This window comes from Homo sapiens, chromosome 19 (genome assembly GCF_000001405.40).
Source record: "Homo sapiens chromosome 19, GRCh38.p14 Primary Assembly".
NCBI lineage: Eukaryota > Metazoa > Chordata > Mammalia > Primates > Hominidae > Homo > Homo sapiens.
This window is the reverse complement of record NC_000019.10, coordinates 2345889-2363854: the sequence shown is the minus strand read 5'-3', so window position 1 is coordinate 2363854 and position 17966 is coordinate 2345889. Positions and strand designations below refer to the sequence as shown.

Sequence of the window (17966 nt, the reverse complement as noted above, 5' to 3'; positions counted from 1 at the left end):
CCCTCCCACTCTCACTCTCTCTCTCTCTCTCACACACACACGCGCGCACGCACACACACACACACTCACACACAGAGTTCTTGGAATTCTAGTGACTCCTCCACATTGCTGGGCAGCTTCCCTGTTATGCTCCCCGAGAACCCTGCTCCCCAGCTAAGCCAGGTGAGCCTGGGGGACCGAGGGGCGCAGGGCCGGGAGCTCTAAACCCTGCCCCAGTGTCGGCACCCAGGGTCCAGTCCTGCCTCCCCAAGCACCAGCTCCATCACCCACAGTTGCACGCACAGATGCACGGGGAATCACGCGACCTCACTCCCTCCCACACTCTCGCCTGTCCCCCCACCCCCCCACAACTGCTCCTACCTCAAATCTCCACCCATGTGTCTGCCATCAGAGAAGGGACGCCTTTGCCTTCATTCCGCCCTCACCTGCGATCCATCTACCATGCCTCCACGTCTCCGCAAAGCCCTTAACCAACCACAGTGACAACAGGGTTTGAACTCCGATGCTCCAGCGTTCCTGCAAGCTCTCGCCCCGCGGACAGAGTCCCCAGCCTGGGCAACCGGCCACCAACACCTTTTGCCTAAGGACTCTCCAAGCTCCGTATTTTACACCCTAAACATTCCAAATTCTGCAAAGGGAATTTTAGACAGTCCAAGAATGCTCTTTAGGGACGGGACCCAGCGCGCAGTGGGCCACATGGTCCCCAACTCACGTTCACACGCTGTGGGCAGCGGGGCACACACGGACTCCCATTCCGCGTGGCAGGACAAGCAGGCGGCGTGAGGCTCTGCAGGGCCCAATTACCCCACGGTCAGGCCAGCCTGAGCGCTGGGACCCTGATCCCCATGCCCCAGATGAGAAGACTAGGAAGAGGGGATTTGCACACACAACCACAACCTCACACAACACACACACAACACACAACCACACACAACACATTACCACACACAACCTCACACAACCAAACACAACCACACATTACAACCTCACACAACCACACACCACAACCACACACACCCTCACAAAACACACCTCACACAACCACATACAACCACACACAACCTCACTCCACCATCCACAAATTATACACAATCTCATCATGCAAGTACACACACAACCACGTTACAACTCCACAAATCTCACATACAATGACCATACAGCTAAACACAACTTCACACATATAGTCATACACTGATACAATCACAACTCCACCATACACAGTCATACAGACACGATTACACATATTGCCACAATCATATGCAATCACACACAAACACAATTATACAACCATACACAACCACACAAAGCCATCCACAAAATCATGCAATTCTCATCATGCAATCACACACACAACCGTACACTATAACCACACAGCTGCAGAAACCTCCCATACAACACACAACCATACACGGTCTCACACATGCAGTCACACACCCATACACACAATTACACCTCCACCACAATCACAGGCACAATGACACACATGGCTGCACAGTCACACAATCTCGCACAACCACACACAATCCTATACAATCACACAAACATCATGACATAACTATACGCAACCACACATGACCACACAACTATACACACAGTTATACAGCCATCGACACACAACCATATACGATCCCACCCGACCACACAATTACACAACCATACACAATCACGCATGACATGACACATGACCACACACAACCATACACAATCACACAATTACACAACATAAACGATCACTCATGACCCCACACACACATATAATACACAATCACACACAAATCACATGGCCATATGCAGCTACAGACACAATTATATATATTGCCACACACAACCACACATCACACACAATCACATGATCACACACAATCACACACAGCCACACAGACAACTCACCCAGAATCTCACACAGCCCCACCCAGCCAGGCCCCCAGGAAGGCGTCAGGAAGCCAGGACCACAGGTGTCCTGCGGGGCATCCCTGATCTGCAAGGCGGTGGCCACCACGCGGCCCACAAGGTGTTTCCGGCCATGCAGTCCTGCGGGGCAGTGCCTGAACCCTTTGGCAAGTCCCCAAAACCTCTGGCAACCTCTGGAGCCCATGCCTGGGTCCGAGGCCTGGTTTGACCCCCTATAAAATGACGGAAGGAAGTCGAAGGTCCCTGGGCCACAGAGGACCCTCGAGCACGGACGCCTGTCCTGGGGACCCCGCCCTAATTCCCAGAATGTGGGTCATTCCCGGTCATGCGGGGATAACGCCACGGTCCCCAGCCTGGGTTTCCTGCCGGGGCTAATTGAATCCAGGAGGACCCTCCCTCAGGCAAATACCAACAACCCACCCCATCTCAGGCCCTTCACCCACCTCCAATTGTTACATCCCAGTGTGTGTTTACTCAGAAGCGGCTCCGAGGGTGAGAACTGGGGCGGGAGGAGAGGCTCCAGTCAGATGCCTGGCACCCACTCCAGCCCCGCCTCCCACCCCAGCCCCCCCTCCCACCCCAGACTCACCTCCCACCCCATCCCAGCCCCGCACCCCACCCCACCAACCCATCCCAGCCCTGCACCCCACCAACCCATCCCAGCACCCCACCCCATCCCAACCCTGCACCCTACCCCAGCCCCACCTCCCACCCCAGCCTCCCACCCCAGCCCCACCTCCCACCCCAGCCTCCCACCCCAGCCCCGCACCACACCCCAGACTCACCTCCCACCCCAGCCCTGCACCCCATCCCAGTAGCTGTCAGCCCCTTTCCCGCCACCCCTGACCCCAGAGGGCTCCAGGCTGATGCTTGGTTCTTGCTTTAGGTGAAGTTCACGGGTAGAAAAGAAGGGAGGACTCTGGGTGGGAACAGGGATGGGGAGGGCTTCGGCGGTCCCAGGCCCCTCCAGGAACTAGGCCGAATCTACACACCCCAGCTGTATCTACACATCTCAGCTGCATCCACACAATCCCGGCTACGTCCACACACCCTGGCGGCATCTACCCAGCCTGGCCTCGTCTAGAAATCTCAGCCACATCTACACACGCTAGATACATCCACACAATCCCGGCTGCGTCCACACAACCCTACGTGCATCTACACACCACACCTGAGTCCACACAACCCCGGCCGCATCCACACGCCACACCTGCGTCCACATAACCCCCGCCGCATCTACACACCACACCTGCGTCCACACAACCCCTGCCGCATCTACACGCCGCACCTGCGTCCACACAACCCCGGCCACATCTACACGCGGCACCTGAGTCCACACAACCCTGGCCGCATCTACACAACCTGGCCATGTCTACACACCCCAGTGGCGTCCACACAGCCCCGGCTGCCTCTCCACAACCCCGGTGGTGTCTACACAGCCTGGCTGCATCTACACACTCCCGCCACGCCACCTCTACACAGCCCCAGAGGCAACCAAACAGCCCCGGGGCTTGGCGAATGGGGTTGGAGGAAGTGGGGGCTGTTCCGAGGGGAGGCTGAGCCCGCAGGAGACCCCGACTCACCGGGGTTGGAGGAAGTGGGGGCTGTTCCGAGGGGAGGCTGAGCCCGCAGGAGACCCCGACTCACCGCGCTCCGGACGACGAGGCTGCACCGCTACTGCCCGGATCCCGCCCACCCCGAAGTGGAGCAGAAGCCGGAGCTGGGCCCGGGGCTGGAGGAAGGGAGGGGCGGGGCGGGGCCGGGTGGGGGAGCCGCCCCTCCCCCGGCCCCCTGCCAAGCCCCTTCCCCAGTACCTCCTGCTCCGGGCCGGGGGTGCCGCCCAGGCTTGGAGTCTCCGGAGGACAGGGGTCCCAGGGCTCTGCCACCTCCACCCTGGATTCCCAACCCTGGCGGGAGCCAACCCAGAGTGGAAGACGATGGAGATGGGGAGGGGTTGGGGGTAGCCAGGGATGGGAGTGGGCTTCGCAGCTGGGAGCCATGGGGTGGGGGTTGCCCGCAGAGTGGGCGCTGTGGGCAGGTGGGCCCACCTGGGCAGGTGACTCAGGACAGGGCGCAGGGAGGGGTGTGCCCAGGACAGCCCTGGGGGCGAGGTGCTGAGGGCGTTTTCTAGGGCACTGGTGTAACCATTTTGTGTGTGTGTGTGTGTGTGTGTGTGTGTGTGTGTTTTGAGACAGGGTCTCATTCTCTGTCGCCCAGGCTGGATTGCAGTGGCGCGATCTTAGCTCACTGCAGCCTTGACCTCCCGGGCTCAGGTGATCCTCCCACCTCAGAGTCTGGAGTAGCTGAGACTACAGCCGCCTGCCACCACACCAGGCTAATTTTTGTATTTTTAGTAGAGATGGGGGTCTCACCATGTTGCCCGGGAAGGAACTACAGTATTTTTAATATAAATTTTTAATTTTTTAAAAAAATAGAGATGGGGTCTTGCCATGTTGCCCAGGCTGGTCTCGAACTCCTGGGCTCAAGCCATCCTCCCACCTCGACCTCCCAAAGCGCTGGGATTACAGGAGTCAGCAACGTGCCCAGCCTAAACGTTTTAGAAGAGTTTTAGATTCCCACAAAATGTGCAAAGACAGTTCAGAACTCCCCTGTGCGCCACATCCCGGGTCCCCTGTTACTGGCATCCAGGCCAGTGTGATACATTTGTCACAACCAATGAACAACTATTGATGCACGACTGTGAAGTCCACACTTGATTCCAGTTTCCTCAGTTTCCCCCAATGCCCTTTCCTGCTCAGGGCCCCACCCGAGATCCCACGTGGCATTTAGGCGTCACGCCTCCTCGGATCTCTCTGGGCTGTCGCAGTTTCCCAGACATTCCTATTTCTGACACCCTGCCCGCTCCTGGGGAAGGCAGGTCAGGTGTTTTGCAGGACACGCCTCAAGTGGGTTTGTCTGGTGCTTTTCTCCCTCATGGTCAGACTGGGTGGCCTCAGTTTTGACGCGCCACCCGCTGCCACGCTGGCCGCCCCTCCTGCTTAGGTCACCAGGTTGTTCACGTTCCTCCGTGCCGTCGAAGGAGACGGTGCACTTCGTTAGAACCACTGTCTCCTCTCTTATCTCAAGAGACTTTGCGGAAATTTTTTTTGGAACTGCCTTTAGAGACCAGCCCCATTTTATTACCTTTGGCAGAGCGTCTTTGTTGGTGATTTGCTTTTGAGAAGTGCCGCAAGTCCCGGGGAGCCACGCCTGGTGCTGGAGGGAGAGCAGTCCTGGAGGATCCAGCTCCTGGGTCCACGTTTCCCCAGTCGCCCGCAGAATGGTCCAGTCTACTGAGTATGTGCTGTGTGCCCGGCACTCGGCAGGGACTCCCCTAGGTTCTCATGATGGCCTCACAAAAGTAGCTGTCACCTCCTTTTAAGCAGAAGAAGTGGCTACAGCCCTGAGAGCCAGTCATCCAGCTCCTGGGATTCAAGCTGGGGCTCCACACCCAGGGCCTCCTATTGCTGCATTCTTCTGCCCACCCTCCTGTCAGGCTGCAGGCTGCGGTTGGTTCCCAAGAGGCATTTCTAACCTGCTCTGAGCCGTGTGGAGAAGAGCCTGTGACCCCATGGGAACCCCCTCCTCTCTTCCTCAGGGCCATTGGTGGACTCTTTCCAGAACTCCACCCTCTCACCTTCTGATGACTTCCCACCTGGCCCCAAACACTGAGTCCCGGTTCCTCGTGCAGCTATAGCAGCTCTCTGCCTGGGCCAGACGGGGTGCTTAGTAGAGGACCTGGCACACAGCAGTGAAGAGTGGTGGGTGGATGAGTGTGTGTGGATGGGTGGATGGGTGGTTGGGTGGATGGAGGGATGGATGGATGGATGGACAGACGGACGGTAAATGGGTGAATGGATAGATGGGTGTGTGTGTGGATAAATGGATAGATGGGTGTGTGTGTGGATAAATGGATAGATGGGTGTGTGTGTGGATGGGTGGGTGAGTGGGTGGATGAATGGATGAGTGGATGGGTGGATGGATGGATGGATGGGTGGGTGAGTAGACAGGTGGATAGATGGGTAAATGGATGAGTGGGTGGGTGGGTGGAAGGTGGGTGGATGGATGGTTGAATGGAAGGGCAAATGGATGGATGGGTGGGTGGGTAGATGGATGGATGGGTGGGTGGGCAGATGGATGGATGGGTGGAGGGGTAAATAATGGGTGGATGGATGGGCAAATGGATGGATGAGTGGAGGGGTGGGTAGATGGATGAATGGCTAGATGGGCAGGTAGATGGATGGATGGATTGGTGGGTGGGTGGATAGGTGGATGGATGGATAAATGGGTGGGTGGGTGGATGAATGAATGGGTAGATGGGTGGATGGGTGGATAGATGGGTGAGTGGGTGGTTGAATGGATGGATGAATGGATGGATGGATGGATGGATGGATGGATGGATGGATGGATAGATGGATGAATGGGTGTGTGGATGGGTGGGTGTGTGGGTGAGTGGATGGTTGGGTGTGTAGATGGATGGATGGATGGATGGATGGATGGATGGATGGATGGATGGATGGATGAATAGATGTGTGAATGGGTAAATGGATGGACAAATGGATGGTGGATCAATGGATGGAGACGGATGGGTGGATAAGTAGGTGGATGGGTGTGTGGATGGGTGGCTGGATGGATGGATATGTGGATAAGTGGATGGGTGGTTGGATAACTGGGTGGATGGGTATGTGGATAGGTGGATGGATGGTTGGATAAATGGATAGGTGTGTGGATGGGTGGGTGGGTGGGCGGGTGGATGGACGGATAGATGGATGGGTGTGTGGATGGATGTTGGATAAATGGATGGGTGGATAGATGAATGAGTGGATGGATGGGTAGATAAATGGATGAGTGGGTGGATAGGTGAATGGGTGGATGAATGGGTGGATAAATGGGTGGATGGGTGTGTGGATAGATGGTTGGATAAATGAGTGGATGGAGGGTATGTGTATGGACGGATGGATAACTGAACAGACAGGTGGGTGAATGGGTGGGTGTGTGGATGAACAGATGGATAAATGTGTGGACAGATGGTTGCATAAATGGGTGGGTGGGTGGGTGGATGGATGCATGGACGGATGGATGGATGGACAGACGGACGGACGGATGGATGGATGGTTACATAAATGGGTGGGTGGGTGGATGGATGGATGGGTGGATGGCCAGTTGGATAAATGGATGGATAGGTGGGTGGATAAAAAATGTGTAAGCTCTGGTCAGCTTAGTGAAAGAAAATCACTATTGTTACCATATTGCTCCACTTTGTAACTTAAACTGCAAGACAGAGGGATGCTCCCCACGAAAAGAAACAAAATACCCTCCCCAGTGCCAACAAGCAGCCTGTTTCCATTTCCCCAGCTCTACCTCTCCCTGACATCCCTGGACCGTGTGTGACCTGGACAGTCGAGGTGTGCACACCCCCCGGAGCTCAGGCACCGGCTGAGCCTGGCAGGAGCCCGTCTTCCTGAATCAAGTGTGTCACTAGCACAAAAGTCCCGACTGCTTCTAAGCGTCCAATCAGATGGCTGATTTGGTGACATCCTGGCTGTCGTGCCTTGCAGTAGGTACATTACTAACCCTCTTTCCAGAGGACAGGGAGTTGGAGGCAGAGGGACTTGCCCACGACCGCAGGTGGTCACAGGTGGACGTGGTGTGAGCCCAGGGCTCTGTGCGCTGAGTCCTGACTGTAACTTTCAGCCCTGAGGCTCAGGTCCACCGGAGCTAATGACATAGCGACTTTTTCTTTTCCTGGACAGGACAAATCACCACTAGAGGCACACAGGGGAGGTGTTCAGAGCCAGCGCCGAGTGGCCTCCGAGCAGTGAGCTCCCCCGTGGAAAGGCAATTGGGGGTGCTCCTTCTGGAGCGTATCGAGGAACTGCTCAAGTTAAAAAACCGAAACCTAAGTGTGACTTCAAGTATTCTGGAATTCGCTTTCCGTGATTAAGCCGTCCCTTCCCCAGTGGGTTTGAATTCAGGTTTGCTGTGAGTGGTAAGGCCTGAGCCTCCATCTCCCGCTGCGTCCTCACCCTGTTCCACATTAAGGCCAAGGGCGTCACGCTGCCAGGCAGTCGTGGTTTGGCTCAGGGCCTGGAGGAATCCATGTCTCTGATCCCTCACAGCCATGTGGCCTCAGAGGCTTGCTGGTGGCCTTTTTTTTTTTTGGAGACAAGGTCTCGCTCTGTTACCCAGGCTGGAGTGCAGTGGTGCGATCACAGTTCACTGCAGCCTTGACCTCCTGGGCTCAAGTAATTCTCCCACCCCAGCCTCCTGAACAGCTGGGACTACAGGTGTGTGCCACCACACCCAGGTAATTTGTGTAGAAATGGGGTCTTGCTACGTTGCCCAGGCTGGTCTTAAACTCCCAGGCTCAAGCAATCCTCCCACCTCAGCCTCCCAAAGCACTGGGGTTACAGGCGTGAGCCACCATGCCCAGCCTGGGTCTCACTTTCTCTAACGTAGCGGAGAACTTTGTGAGACTAGAACAACACACACAGCAGCCCCTGATGCCTGGCAGATGCTCAGGACTCACTGGCCTCTCGGCCCGCACACAAACCCGCATCCATCACCCACGTGCCCACAGGCCCAGCGCCAGCCAGCAGCAGCTGGAAACCAAACCTTGTCCCAAAGCGGCTAAGACAGGTCTTTGCATTTTTAAAGAGAAAAAAATAATAATAAACTCTTTTGAGACGTGAGGATGCTATACAATTCCAATTTCAGGGTCTGGCGAGAAAATTACTTGAGGGATGGGCGTGGTGGCTCGTGCCTGTAATTGCAGCGCTTTGGGAGGCCGAGACAGGAGGATTGTCTGAGCTCAGCAGTTCGAGATCAGCCTCAGCAACACTGCAAGACCCCATCTCTATTTTAATTTTGTAAAAGGTATTTTGGCCCATTTTACACATGGTCTGTGATGCTTTCCAGCAACAGTGGCAGAGCTGAGAAGCGTGACAGGGACCACATGGCCCACAGAGCCCATGGGAGTGACGCTGGGCACCTCACAGCACTGGCCGGCCCTGCGGTGGCAATTCCAATCCGTCCTCTGCAGGACAGCCAGGCGGCCTGCCAGCTCTCAGTTCTGCTCACCGGGACCTGCACAGAGCAGATGCCCCAAGCCGTGCACTGCGGAGGCAGAGGCCGGGCCATATGTATCAAAAGCTGTGTTTAATGATCAGACGGAATGGCAGCAAGGCCACACGGACAGACGGAGCCAAGGACAGGACCGCCGCCTCTGAACCCCTCCCCACTGGTCAAACGTCCAACACCAAAAAAGAGACGTCCCCACCCCGTCCCCATGTACAAAATGGCTTCAGTGAAGGCGCCATTACTCCCTGGGAAGCTGGTATTTTTTGTAAGGGATCAGGGCTCACCCCTGCCACCCTCTGTCCGGAACAGACCCGTGAGAGCGCAGCGCTCAGCAGTCCCCGTGTGCAGCTGGGGACGACTGACTTGACAGAAACAGATTCTGGACTCGAGTCTGGAGGCCGCACTCAACAGGGCGGGTGGCGGGCGGGAGCTGGGGCCCAGGCACCACAGACAGCCAGGGTGCGGGCTCTGTCTCTGCGGCCACAGGGAGCGCTGCTTCGGAAGTGACCACGTGCAGCGAGGGGAGGATGCCGGGGCCTGGGGCCACGCCTCGGTCAGTTCCCGCACGGACGTCTCTGCCCTGGAGTCAGGAGGACCCCATCAGTGAGTAGACCATGCCAGTGGCAGATGTCCTCGTGGGTTCCAGAAGCTCCTAGCTGCTGGGTCCAGAGGGTTAAGAACCCAGGCACCAATGCCGCTGCCACAGGGAGAACCGAGGCCCAAGCCCCTCTCAGCAGAAAAGCAACACGGGGCCCACACGGGAAGCGAGGTTGGGTGCCGGGAGCTACCAGGACCTCCCACGACCCAGTCCCTCCCTCCCAGGGCTCCAGGGACCCCTGAGGGCCTGACCCAGCCTGCCTGGCGCCCACCCCTGCTTGTCAGAAGGGCAGTCTGAGAGACGTCCACCCCACCAGGTGGCACCAGCAGGACTTCTAGAAGTTGCGACCATTTATTAAAATGGGGAGGAGTGTGCAGGCATGGCCAGGCACCTCTGGCTGAGGGCAGGGCAGGGCCTTAGCCAGGGGAGCAGCTTGTCCACTTACTGCCAGCCTTGTTCACGCCCCAAAACCCCGCCCCACGGGCCTGTCTCAGCCAGCGTCAGGGGCCAGAGGCCGCCCCGGCCACTGGTCCGTGTCCTAGGCTTGGAGGCAGCTTCCAAACCTCCCAGGGGCTCCGATCTGCTCAAGAGGGAAAAGCGATGCCTTCTGGGAGACAGAAAGCTGCTCTTCCACCCGGAGAGCAGGATGCCGTGGGGAGGGAGGTCACCTGAAGGCCGAAGCAGCTGGTGAGCACCAAGTGTGGCCGCGGCCAGAGTCCACCCACGCCTGCTCACTCATGCAGACGACGCTTGAGGGTCTGCAGAGAGGCCGGGCAGGGCCTGCGAGGACGGACCCCGGTGGGGAGGATGGACCCGCAGAGAGCTTGTGGCAGCCGGGCGAGCTGGGAGCAGCAGGCGTGCAGCCGGGGCAGCTGGGCTGGGCGCGGGCACAGACCGCAGGGGTCTCGGCAAGGATGAGCACCATGTTGGGGCGGGTGGGGACGGCACAGGCCTCGGTCCCGGGGGACAGGCGTCTGTCTGTCTGTCTCCAGTGGGCGCCAGGCAGCCCCAACATCTTGGTGTGGCGGGCACGGCAGCGAGCGTCTCACCCCTCCCCTAGGCCGAGGCGCCAGGCTGGGTTACCGGGGACGGCTGGGCCTGGTCCCGGCCCTCGGATTCAGCTGGGCTCCCAGGCTCCCGCATGGGGGCTCCAGCCCCCATCTCCTCGGACGTGCGTGATTTTGGGGACTGCTCAGCAGGCCAGGGGGATGTGGCTGGTTCTTCGCTGGGCGGCTGCGGGGAGAGTGGCGTGGCAGAGTCTTTGGGAGGCTGCGGGCCGTCGGCTGGTGCTGGGGCCCACGGAGATGGAGGTAGGACTTTCTACAGGAGAAGGGAGGCAGAGGTGAGGCGGAGACAGGGACCCAGAGGAGGACCCTGGCAGGGGCCAGGACACCCAGCACCCGCAGGCCACGGGGGCAGGGTCAAAATGAGGCGCCATCCCCAGGGGCTCTGGACCCAAGGAGGGGGCCGGCTCCATAACCTACGGGCACCCAGGACCCTGTCCATCGGCACAGGTGCCGCGGGAGGGCCATCCGAGGCCAGCAGAGGCTGGGAGCTGTGCAAAGCCTCTCCAAAGAAAAGCCTGGACTACCGTCTCTCGCCCCTGGGCCTGGTCCCCGGCTTCTCCTGAACCTTCTGAAATGCCCATCAGAATGGGGAGACCTTTGGGGTGGGGGTGCTGGCCCCAGGAGACTTCTCCCTGGGGCCTGGTCTCAGGCCATGGTCCCATCTGTGGGACCCATGAGCCCAGCTCGGCACTGGAACCACAGCTCGACCCAATGCATCACACCAGTGCGGCAGGGACGGGTGTGGTTTAACCTCCACAAAAACATGACGTAGGACCCCATGCGCGGCCAGCACCGCTGAGAAGCGCGGCATCTCCCCCAGAGGGAGATCAGCTATGGGAGGAGCTGCACCCATGCCCAACAGCCTGAGGATCGCCCTATGGCGCAGGGCTGCTCCCTGGGCGGTCATGGACTCCAAGAGGCGCTGCCCGGAGGGGCGGGGGCAGCTCTCGGGCGCAATGCGCCTGAGTCCCGGGAACCCAGGAAGTCACCTGAGCGGCACACTGGAAGGGGGGGTCCCACCCACTCCTGTTCACAAAAAATCACAAGAGCAGAACCGACGTGGCGTAAGCCCTCCCTGCATCTCACGTTTAACCCTTGCCAACCACCCCCTGCCTTGCCAAGGGGGACAGGGGACAGGGCTTCCACAGCCAGGGCAGGCCTGCTCCCCTCGTCCAGGGCCCTGCGGCCCCACCCCCAGTCAGGCGCCTCGCTCTCGGCAGGAGAGGCGATGGATGCCCGATGCCCACGCAGGTGGGGCACTACTATTTGGGAGAAGCAACTTTAGAAAGGACATGGCACCCCCGAGTCCCAGCCGGCACCCCCGCGTCCCACCCGGCACCCCTGGGCCCCACCCGGCACCCCCGCGTCCCACCCGGCACCCCCGGGCCCCACCTGGCACCCCCGCATCCCACCCGGCACAGGAGCTGCACGCACGTCCTTCCACCGGGGCCTCACGCGCATGACACCCAAAGCAGAAGGTACCAGGACCCTGAGCCCCGTCGCGGCCGCAGGGCTGGCTGTGGCTGGAGGTCTCACTCAACTTTAACTCTAGTTAGGGCTCACTAGGCGAGTATTTCTCACAGTCAGAGCAAACTGGTATTCACCGCAAAGCCGCTGCCCGTCCAGAACACGCCCAGCTCCCGGCGCCAGAGCGCCACAGCGCAGCTCGTCACCAGCGTGCAGGGCACCAGGTAGAGGAGAGCGGGCTGGCCACGCTGCATCAGGGCCAGTGCCACGAATGTCACAAGGAGGCCAACGCCATAGGCTGTGGGGACAGAGGAGGCATCACCTCAGCCAGGCAGGCCAGGGCCACCACCCATTTCCCTGGGAAGAACGTGAGCGGGCTGGGGTTGGTGGAGGGCAGGGGTGTGCGAGGACGGGAGAGGTACAGTGGGGGTTCAGCCGGCAGGGCCACAGGCTCCCCAAAGTACATGGATCCTTCCGGCACCTCCTGGGCCACAATCCCACCCTGACCCTACCGGAGCCAGGGTCACCGAGGACATGGAAGGGCCAGGGCAAGGAGAGGGACAGGGAGGGGCAGGGTCCGGGCAGCTGCAGGACAGCGGGAGGCAGACGTGATAGCGGAGGGGGCTGCGAGACGTGTCTGGGATGCAGTTTCTATGAACCTCTGAGAAAATCAGCCGAAGGTGACACATGTGCCTGACCAGAAAACCCTTGAACACTGAGCTGTGGGCATATAAACTATGTTCTCAGGAGACACCCAGTGAAATGTTTGGGGTCAAAGGGCACGGTGTCCACCCACCGGGGCCGTGCCCCCAGTCCCCTGAGAACGCAGCCTGTGATTTACATACGTGTGCATGTAAATACACAAACGCACACATGGCCACCCTTGGCACCCGCAGGGGAGGGCTGCCAGGACCCCCTTGCTCATGTCCCTGACGTAAACTGGTGCAGTGTCTGCCTAGAACCCACCCGCGTCCTGCCAAACCATAAATCACCATAGGTTCCTACAAACGCAAACGTGATGTCGCCGCAGGCAATGGCTGTCGCATGGCATTGCTTCGGGAAAACTGGCCCAAAAAATCTGCATGTGTTCAGTACAGATAAGAACACAAATCTTTTCCCCAAATATTTTCAACCTACAGCTAGTGAAATCCACAGCTGCAGGAACCCATGGCTAGTGAGGGCCAACTGCAGTACACGGGGGAGCGTGAGTGTGTGTGTGGAGAGAGAGAGAATGGAATCAAGCGAATGAAAGCGTGAGTGTGTGTGGAGAGAGAGAACGGAATCAAGCGAATGAGAGCGCGAGTGTGTGTGTGGAGAGAGAACGGAATCAAGCGAATGAGAACGCGAGTGTGTGTGGAGAGAGAGAACGGAATCAAGCGAATGAGAGCACGTGAGTGTGTGTGTGGAGAGAGAACGGAGTCAAGCGAATGACAGCGCGTGAGTGTGTGGAGAGAGAGAACGGAATCAAGCGAATAAGAGCGCAAGTGTGTGTGTGGAGAGAGAACGGAATCAAGCCAATGAGAGCACGAGTGTGTGTGGAGAGAGAACGGAATCAAGCGAATGAGAGCGCGTGAGTGTGTGTGGAGAGAGAGAACGGAATCAAGCAAATGAGAGCGCGAGTGTGTGTGGAGAGAGAGAACAGAGTCAAGCGAATGAGAGCGCGTGAGTGTGTGGAGAGAGAGAACGGAATCAAGCGAATGAGAGCGAGTGTGTGTCGAGGGAGAGAACGGAATCAAGCAAATGAGAGCGCGTGAGTGTGTGTAGAGAGAGAACAGAATCAAGCAAATGAGAGCATGTGAGTGTGTGTGGAGAGAGAGAATGGAATCAAGCGAATGAGGGCGCGAGTGTGTGTGGAGAGAGAGAACGGAATCAAGCGAATGAGAGCGTGAGTGTGTGTGGAGAGAGAGAACAGAGTCAAGCGAATGAGAGCGCGTGAGTGTGTGTGGAGAGAGAACGGAATCAAGCAAATGAGAGCGCATGTGTGTGGAGAGAGAGAACGGAATCAAGCGAATGAGAACACGAGTGTGTGTGGAGAGAGAACGGAATCAGGCGAATGAGAACACGAGTGTGTGTGGAGAGAGAGAACGGAATCAAGCGAATGAGAGCGCGTGTGTGTGGAGAGAGAGAACGGAATCAAGCGAATGAGAACACGAGTGTGTGTGGAGAGAGAGAACGGAATCAGGCGAATGAGAACACGAGTGTGTGTGGAGAGAGAGAACGGAATCAGGCGAATGAGAACACGAGTGTGTGTGGAGAGAGAGAACGGAATCAAGCGAATGAGAGCGCGTGTGTGTGGAGAGAGAGAACGGAATCAAGCGAATGAGAACACGAGTGTGTGTGGAGAGAGAGAACGGAATCAGGCGAATGAGAACACGAGTGTGTGTGGAGAGAGAGAACGGAATCAAGCGAATGAGAGCGCGTGTGTGTGGAGAGAGAACGGAATCAAGCGAATGAGAACACGAGTGTGTGTGGAGAGAGAGAACGGAATCAGGCGAATGAGAACACGAGTGTGTGTGGAGAGAGAGAACGGAATCAAGCGAATGACAGCGCGTGAGTGTGTGTGGAGGGAGAGAATGGAATCAAGCGAATGAGAACGCGAGTGTGTGTGGAGGGAGAGAATGGAATCAAGCGAATGAGAACGCGAGTGTGTGTGGAGGGAGAGAACGGAATCAAGCGAATGAGAGCGCGTGAGTGTGTGTGGAGAGAGAGAGAACGGAATCAAGCGAATGAGAGCGTGAGTGTGTGTGGAGAGAGAACGGAATCAAGCGAATGACAGCGCGTGAGTGTGTGTGGAGAGAGAGAACAGAATCAAGCGAATGAGAGCGCGTGAGTGTGTGTGGAGAGAGAGAATGGAATCAAGCGAATGACAGCGCGTGAGTGTGTGTGGAGGGAGAGAATGGAATCAAGCGAATGAGAACACGAGTGTGTGTGGAGGGAGAGAACGGAATCAAGCGAATGAGAGCGCGTGAGTGTGTGTGGAGAGAGAGAACGGAATCAAGCGAATGAGAGCGTGAGTGTGTGTGGAGAGAGAACGGAATCAAGCGAATGAGAGCGTGAGTGTGTGTGGAGAGAGAACGGAATCAAGCGAATGACAGCGTGTGAGTGTGTGTGGAGAGAGAGAATGGAATCAGGCGAATGAGAGTGCATGAGTCTGTGTGGAGAGAGAACGGAATCACGCGAATGAGAACGTGAGTGTGTGTGGAGGGAGAGAGAACGGAATCAAGCGAATGAGAGCGTGAGTGTGTGTGGAGAGAGAACGGAATCAAGCGAATGACAGCGCATGAGTGTGTGTGGAGGGAGAGAATGGAATCAAGCGAATGAGAGCGCGTGAGTCTGTGTGTGGAGGGAGAGAACGGAATCAGGCAAATGAGAGCGCGTGAGTGTGTGTGTGGAGAGAGAACCGCATCAAGCGAATGAGAGCGCGAGTGTGTGTGTGGAGGGAGAGAACGGAATCAGGCGAATAAGAGTGCGTGAGTGTGTGTGGAGAGAGAACGGAATCAGGCGAATGAGAGTGTGTGTGTGTGGAGAGAGAACGGAATCAAGCGAATGAGAGCGCGAGTGTGTGTGGAGAGAGAACGGAATCAAGCGAATGAGAGCGTGAGTGTGTGTGGAGAGAGAACGGAATCAAGCGAATGACAGCGCATGAGTGTGTGTGGAGGGAGAGAATGGAATCAAGCGAATGAGAGCGCGTGAGTCTGTGTGTGGAGGGAGAGAACGGAATCAGGCAAATGAGAGCGCGTGAGTGTGTGTGTGGAGAGAGAACCGCATCAAGCGAATGAGAGCGCGAGTGTGTGTGTGGAGGGAGAGAACGGAATCAGGCGAATAAGAGTGCGTGAGTGTGTGTGGAGAGAGAACGGAATCAGGCGAATGAGAGTGTGTGTGTGTGGAGAGAGAACGGAATCAGGCGAATGAGAGCGCGTGTGTGTGGAGAGAGAGAACGGAATCAGGCGAATGAGAGTGTGTGTGTGTGGAGAGAGAACGGAATCAGGCGAATGAGAGCGCGTGAGTGTGTGTGGAGAGAAGGAGAACGGAATCAGGCGAATGAGAGTGCGTGAGTGTGTGTGGAGAGAGAACGGCATCAAGCGAATGAGAGCGCGTGAGTGTGTGTGTGGAGGGAGAGAACGGAATCAGGCGAATGAGAGTGCGTGAGTGTGTGTGGAGAGAGAACGGCATCAAGCGAATGAGAGCGCGTGAGTGTGTGTGTGGAGGGAGAGAACGGAATCAGGCGAATAAGAGTGCGTGAGTGTGTGTGGAGAGAGAACGGAATCAGGCGAATGAGAGTGTGTGTGTGTGGAGAGAGAGAACGGAATCAGGCGAATGAGAGCGCGTGTGTGGAGAGAGAGAACGGAATCAGGCGAATGAGAGTGTGTGTGTGTGGAGAGAGAACGGAATCAGGCGAATGAGAGCGCGTGAGTGTGTGTGGAGAGAAGGAGAACGGAATCAGGCGAATGAGAGTGCGTGAGTGTGTGTGGAGAGAGAACGGCATCAAGCGAATGAGAGCGCGTGAGTGTGTGTGTGGAGGGAGAGAACGGAATCAGGCGAATGAGAGCGCGTGTGTGTGGAGAGAGAACGGAATCAGGTGAATGAGAGCGCGTAAGTGTGTGTGGAGGGAGAGAGAACGGAATCAAGCGAATGTGAAGAAATGACCAGTCCCTCTGAGAACGGGGCACACGGGAGTTCTCTGTAGCGATCCTGCAACTGTCATTTGAAATTATTTCAAAATAAAGCTCTGAGAAAATTAATTATTTGCTAGAACACTCTTAAAAAAAGAGCCGCTGTGTCCAGCAAGCACACTGCTCCCGGCACTTTTTCTAACACCCATCTCTGTATTTCTGACGCCATGCCACGGGGAGCGTCCCTATTGGTCCATTTTAGGCCATCCACGTGTCCATCAGCCATCATCAACAGACGCAGACAGACACAAACAGGGAGGGCTGGCACCTATAAAGCCTCAGCGGCTTCAGTCTCAGGAATTACAGGGACAACTTGACAAGTTATGTTTCAGGAGAGACAAATCTCTGCAGCTGTGTTTTTATTTTTTCTTTCATTTTATTATTATTTTTTCGAGACAGGGTCTCACTCTGTTGCCTAGGCTGGAGTGCGGTGGCACGATCATGGCTCACTGCAGCCTTGAACTCCCAGGCTCAAGCGATCCTCCCACCTCAGCCTGCAGAGTAGCTGGGGCTACAGGCACATGTCACCATGCCCGGCTAATTTTTGCATTCTTCTGCAGAGACAGGGTCTTACTATGTTGCCCAGGCTGGTCTTGAACTCCTGGACTCAAGCAATCCTCCCACTTCAGCCTCCCAGAAAGCTGGGATCACAGACATGAGCCCCCGTACCCGGCCTCAGCCGTGATTTTAAAGGATAATCATGAAGACAGTAAAATCGGGCGAGGGGAAAGCCAGGGGCACCTGCAGCTGCAGGAGGCAGGTGTGAGGGGACAGGCCGGCCTGAACTCTCCTGGCCCTGGGAGTGGCCGTTTAGGGAGCCACGTGGAGGGCAGGGTCGGGGGCGTGGCTCGGCAGAGGAGGCCTGGCCTGGCCCTGTGCCCAGGAACCAGAAAGCACCACAGCTTCTTTCCTTAGGGCCAGCTGCGGTGGGGGACATTTTTCAAAACAATGTGGGTCAACAGATAACAGCACTTTGCGTAAATACGTTCATAACAAAAGAAACAGTAGAAGACAAGGCAAAGAAGAAAAAGACAAAAAGAGGAAAACAGGAAAGAAAAGGAAAAGAAAAGAACAGAACAATGGAAGCCAGGGAAAATGAGAAAGACGGGGACGGAGGCACAGGCCCAGGGAGAATGAGAAAGACCAGGATGTGGACACAGGCCAAAGGAG

The 17966-nt window shown here is 57.0% G+C and overlaps 2 protein-coding genes across 7 annotated transcripts in view, besides 1 other annotated feature; both read right to left on the bottom strand.

The window, feature by feature from the left end:
- TMPRSS9 (transmembrane serine protease 9) overlaps window positions 1-3590 on the bottom strand; it is a 65997-nt gene extending 62407 nt beyond the window's left edge. Inside the window, exon 1 of the mRNA NM_001395513.1 lies at window positions 3495-3590. The gene's annotated coding sequence lies outside the window, so the exon portion shown is untranslated. The remainder of the gene's footprint in view (window positions 1-3494) is intronic.
- Window positions 5060-5271: a silencer, noted in NCBI's record as "fragment chr19:2358582-2358793 (GRCh37/hg19 assembly coordinates)". NCBI's record gives its function as "represses an EF-1alpha promoter that drives an FKBP-Casp9 reporter gene in an ReSE screen in HepG2 liver carcinoma cells {active_cell/tissue: HepG2}" and the evidence as "EXISTENCE:reporter gene assay evidence [ECO:0000049][PMID:32094911]".
- SPPL2B (signal peptide peptidase like 2B) overlaps window positions 8760-17966 on the bottom strand; it is a 26412-nt gene continuing 17205 nt past the window's right edge. For 5 of the 6 annotated variants that reach the window (NM_152988.3, XM_011528138.3, XM_011528139.3 and 2 more), the window contains 2 exons: window positions 12261-12421; window positions 8760-10909 (listed from right to left, as the gene is read on the bottom strand). In NM_152988.3, the coding sequence (NP_694533.1) occupies window positions 10646-10909; window positions 12261-12421 (425 nt within the window). In that variant the 3' untranslated portion in view covers window positions 8760-10645. Of the gene's footprint in view, window positions 10910-12197; window positions 12422-17966 lie in introns of all 6 variants that reach the window. The other variant, NM_001077238.2, reaches the window with a different exon arrangement.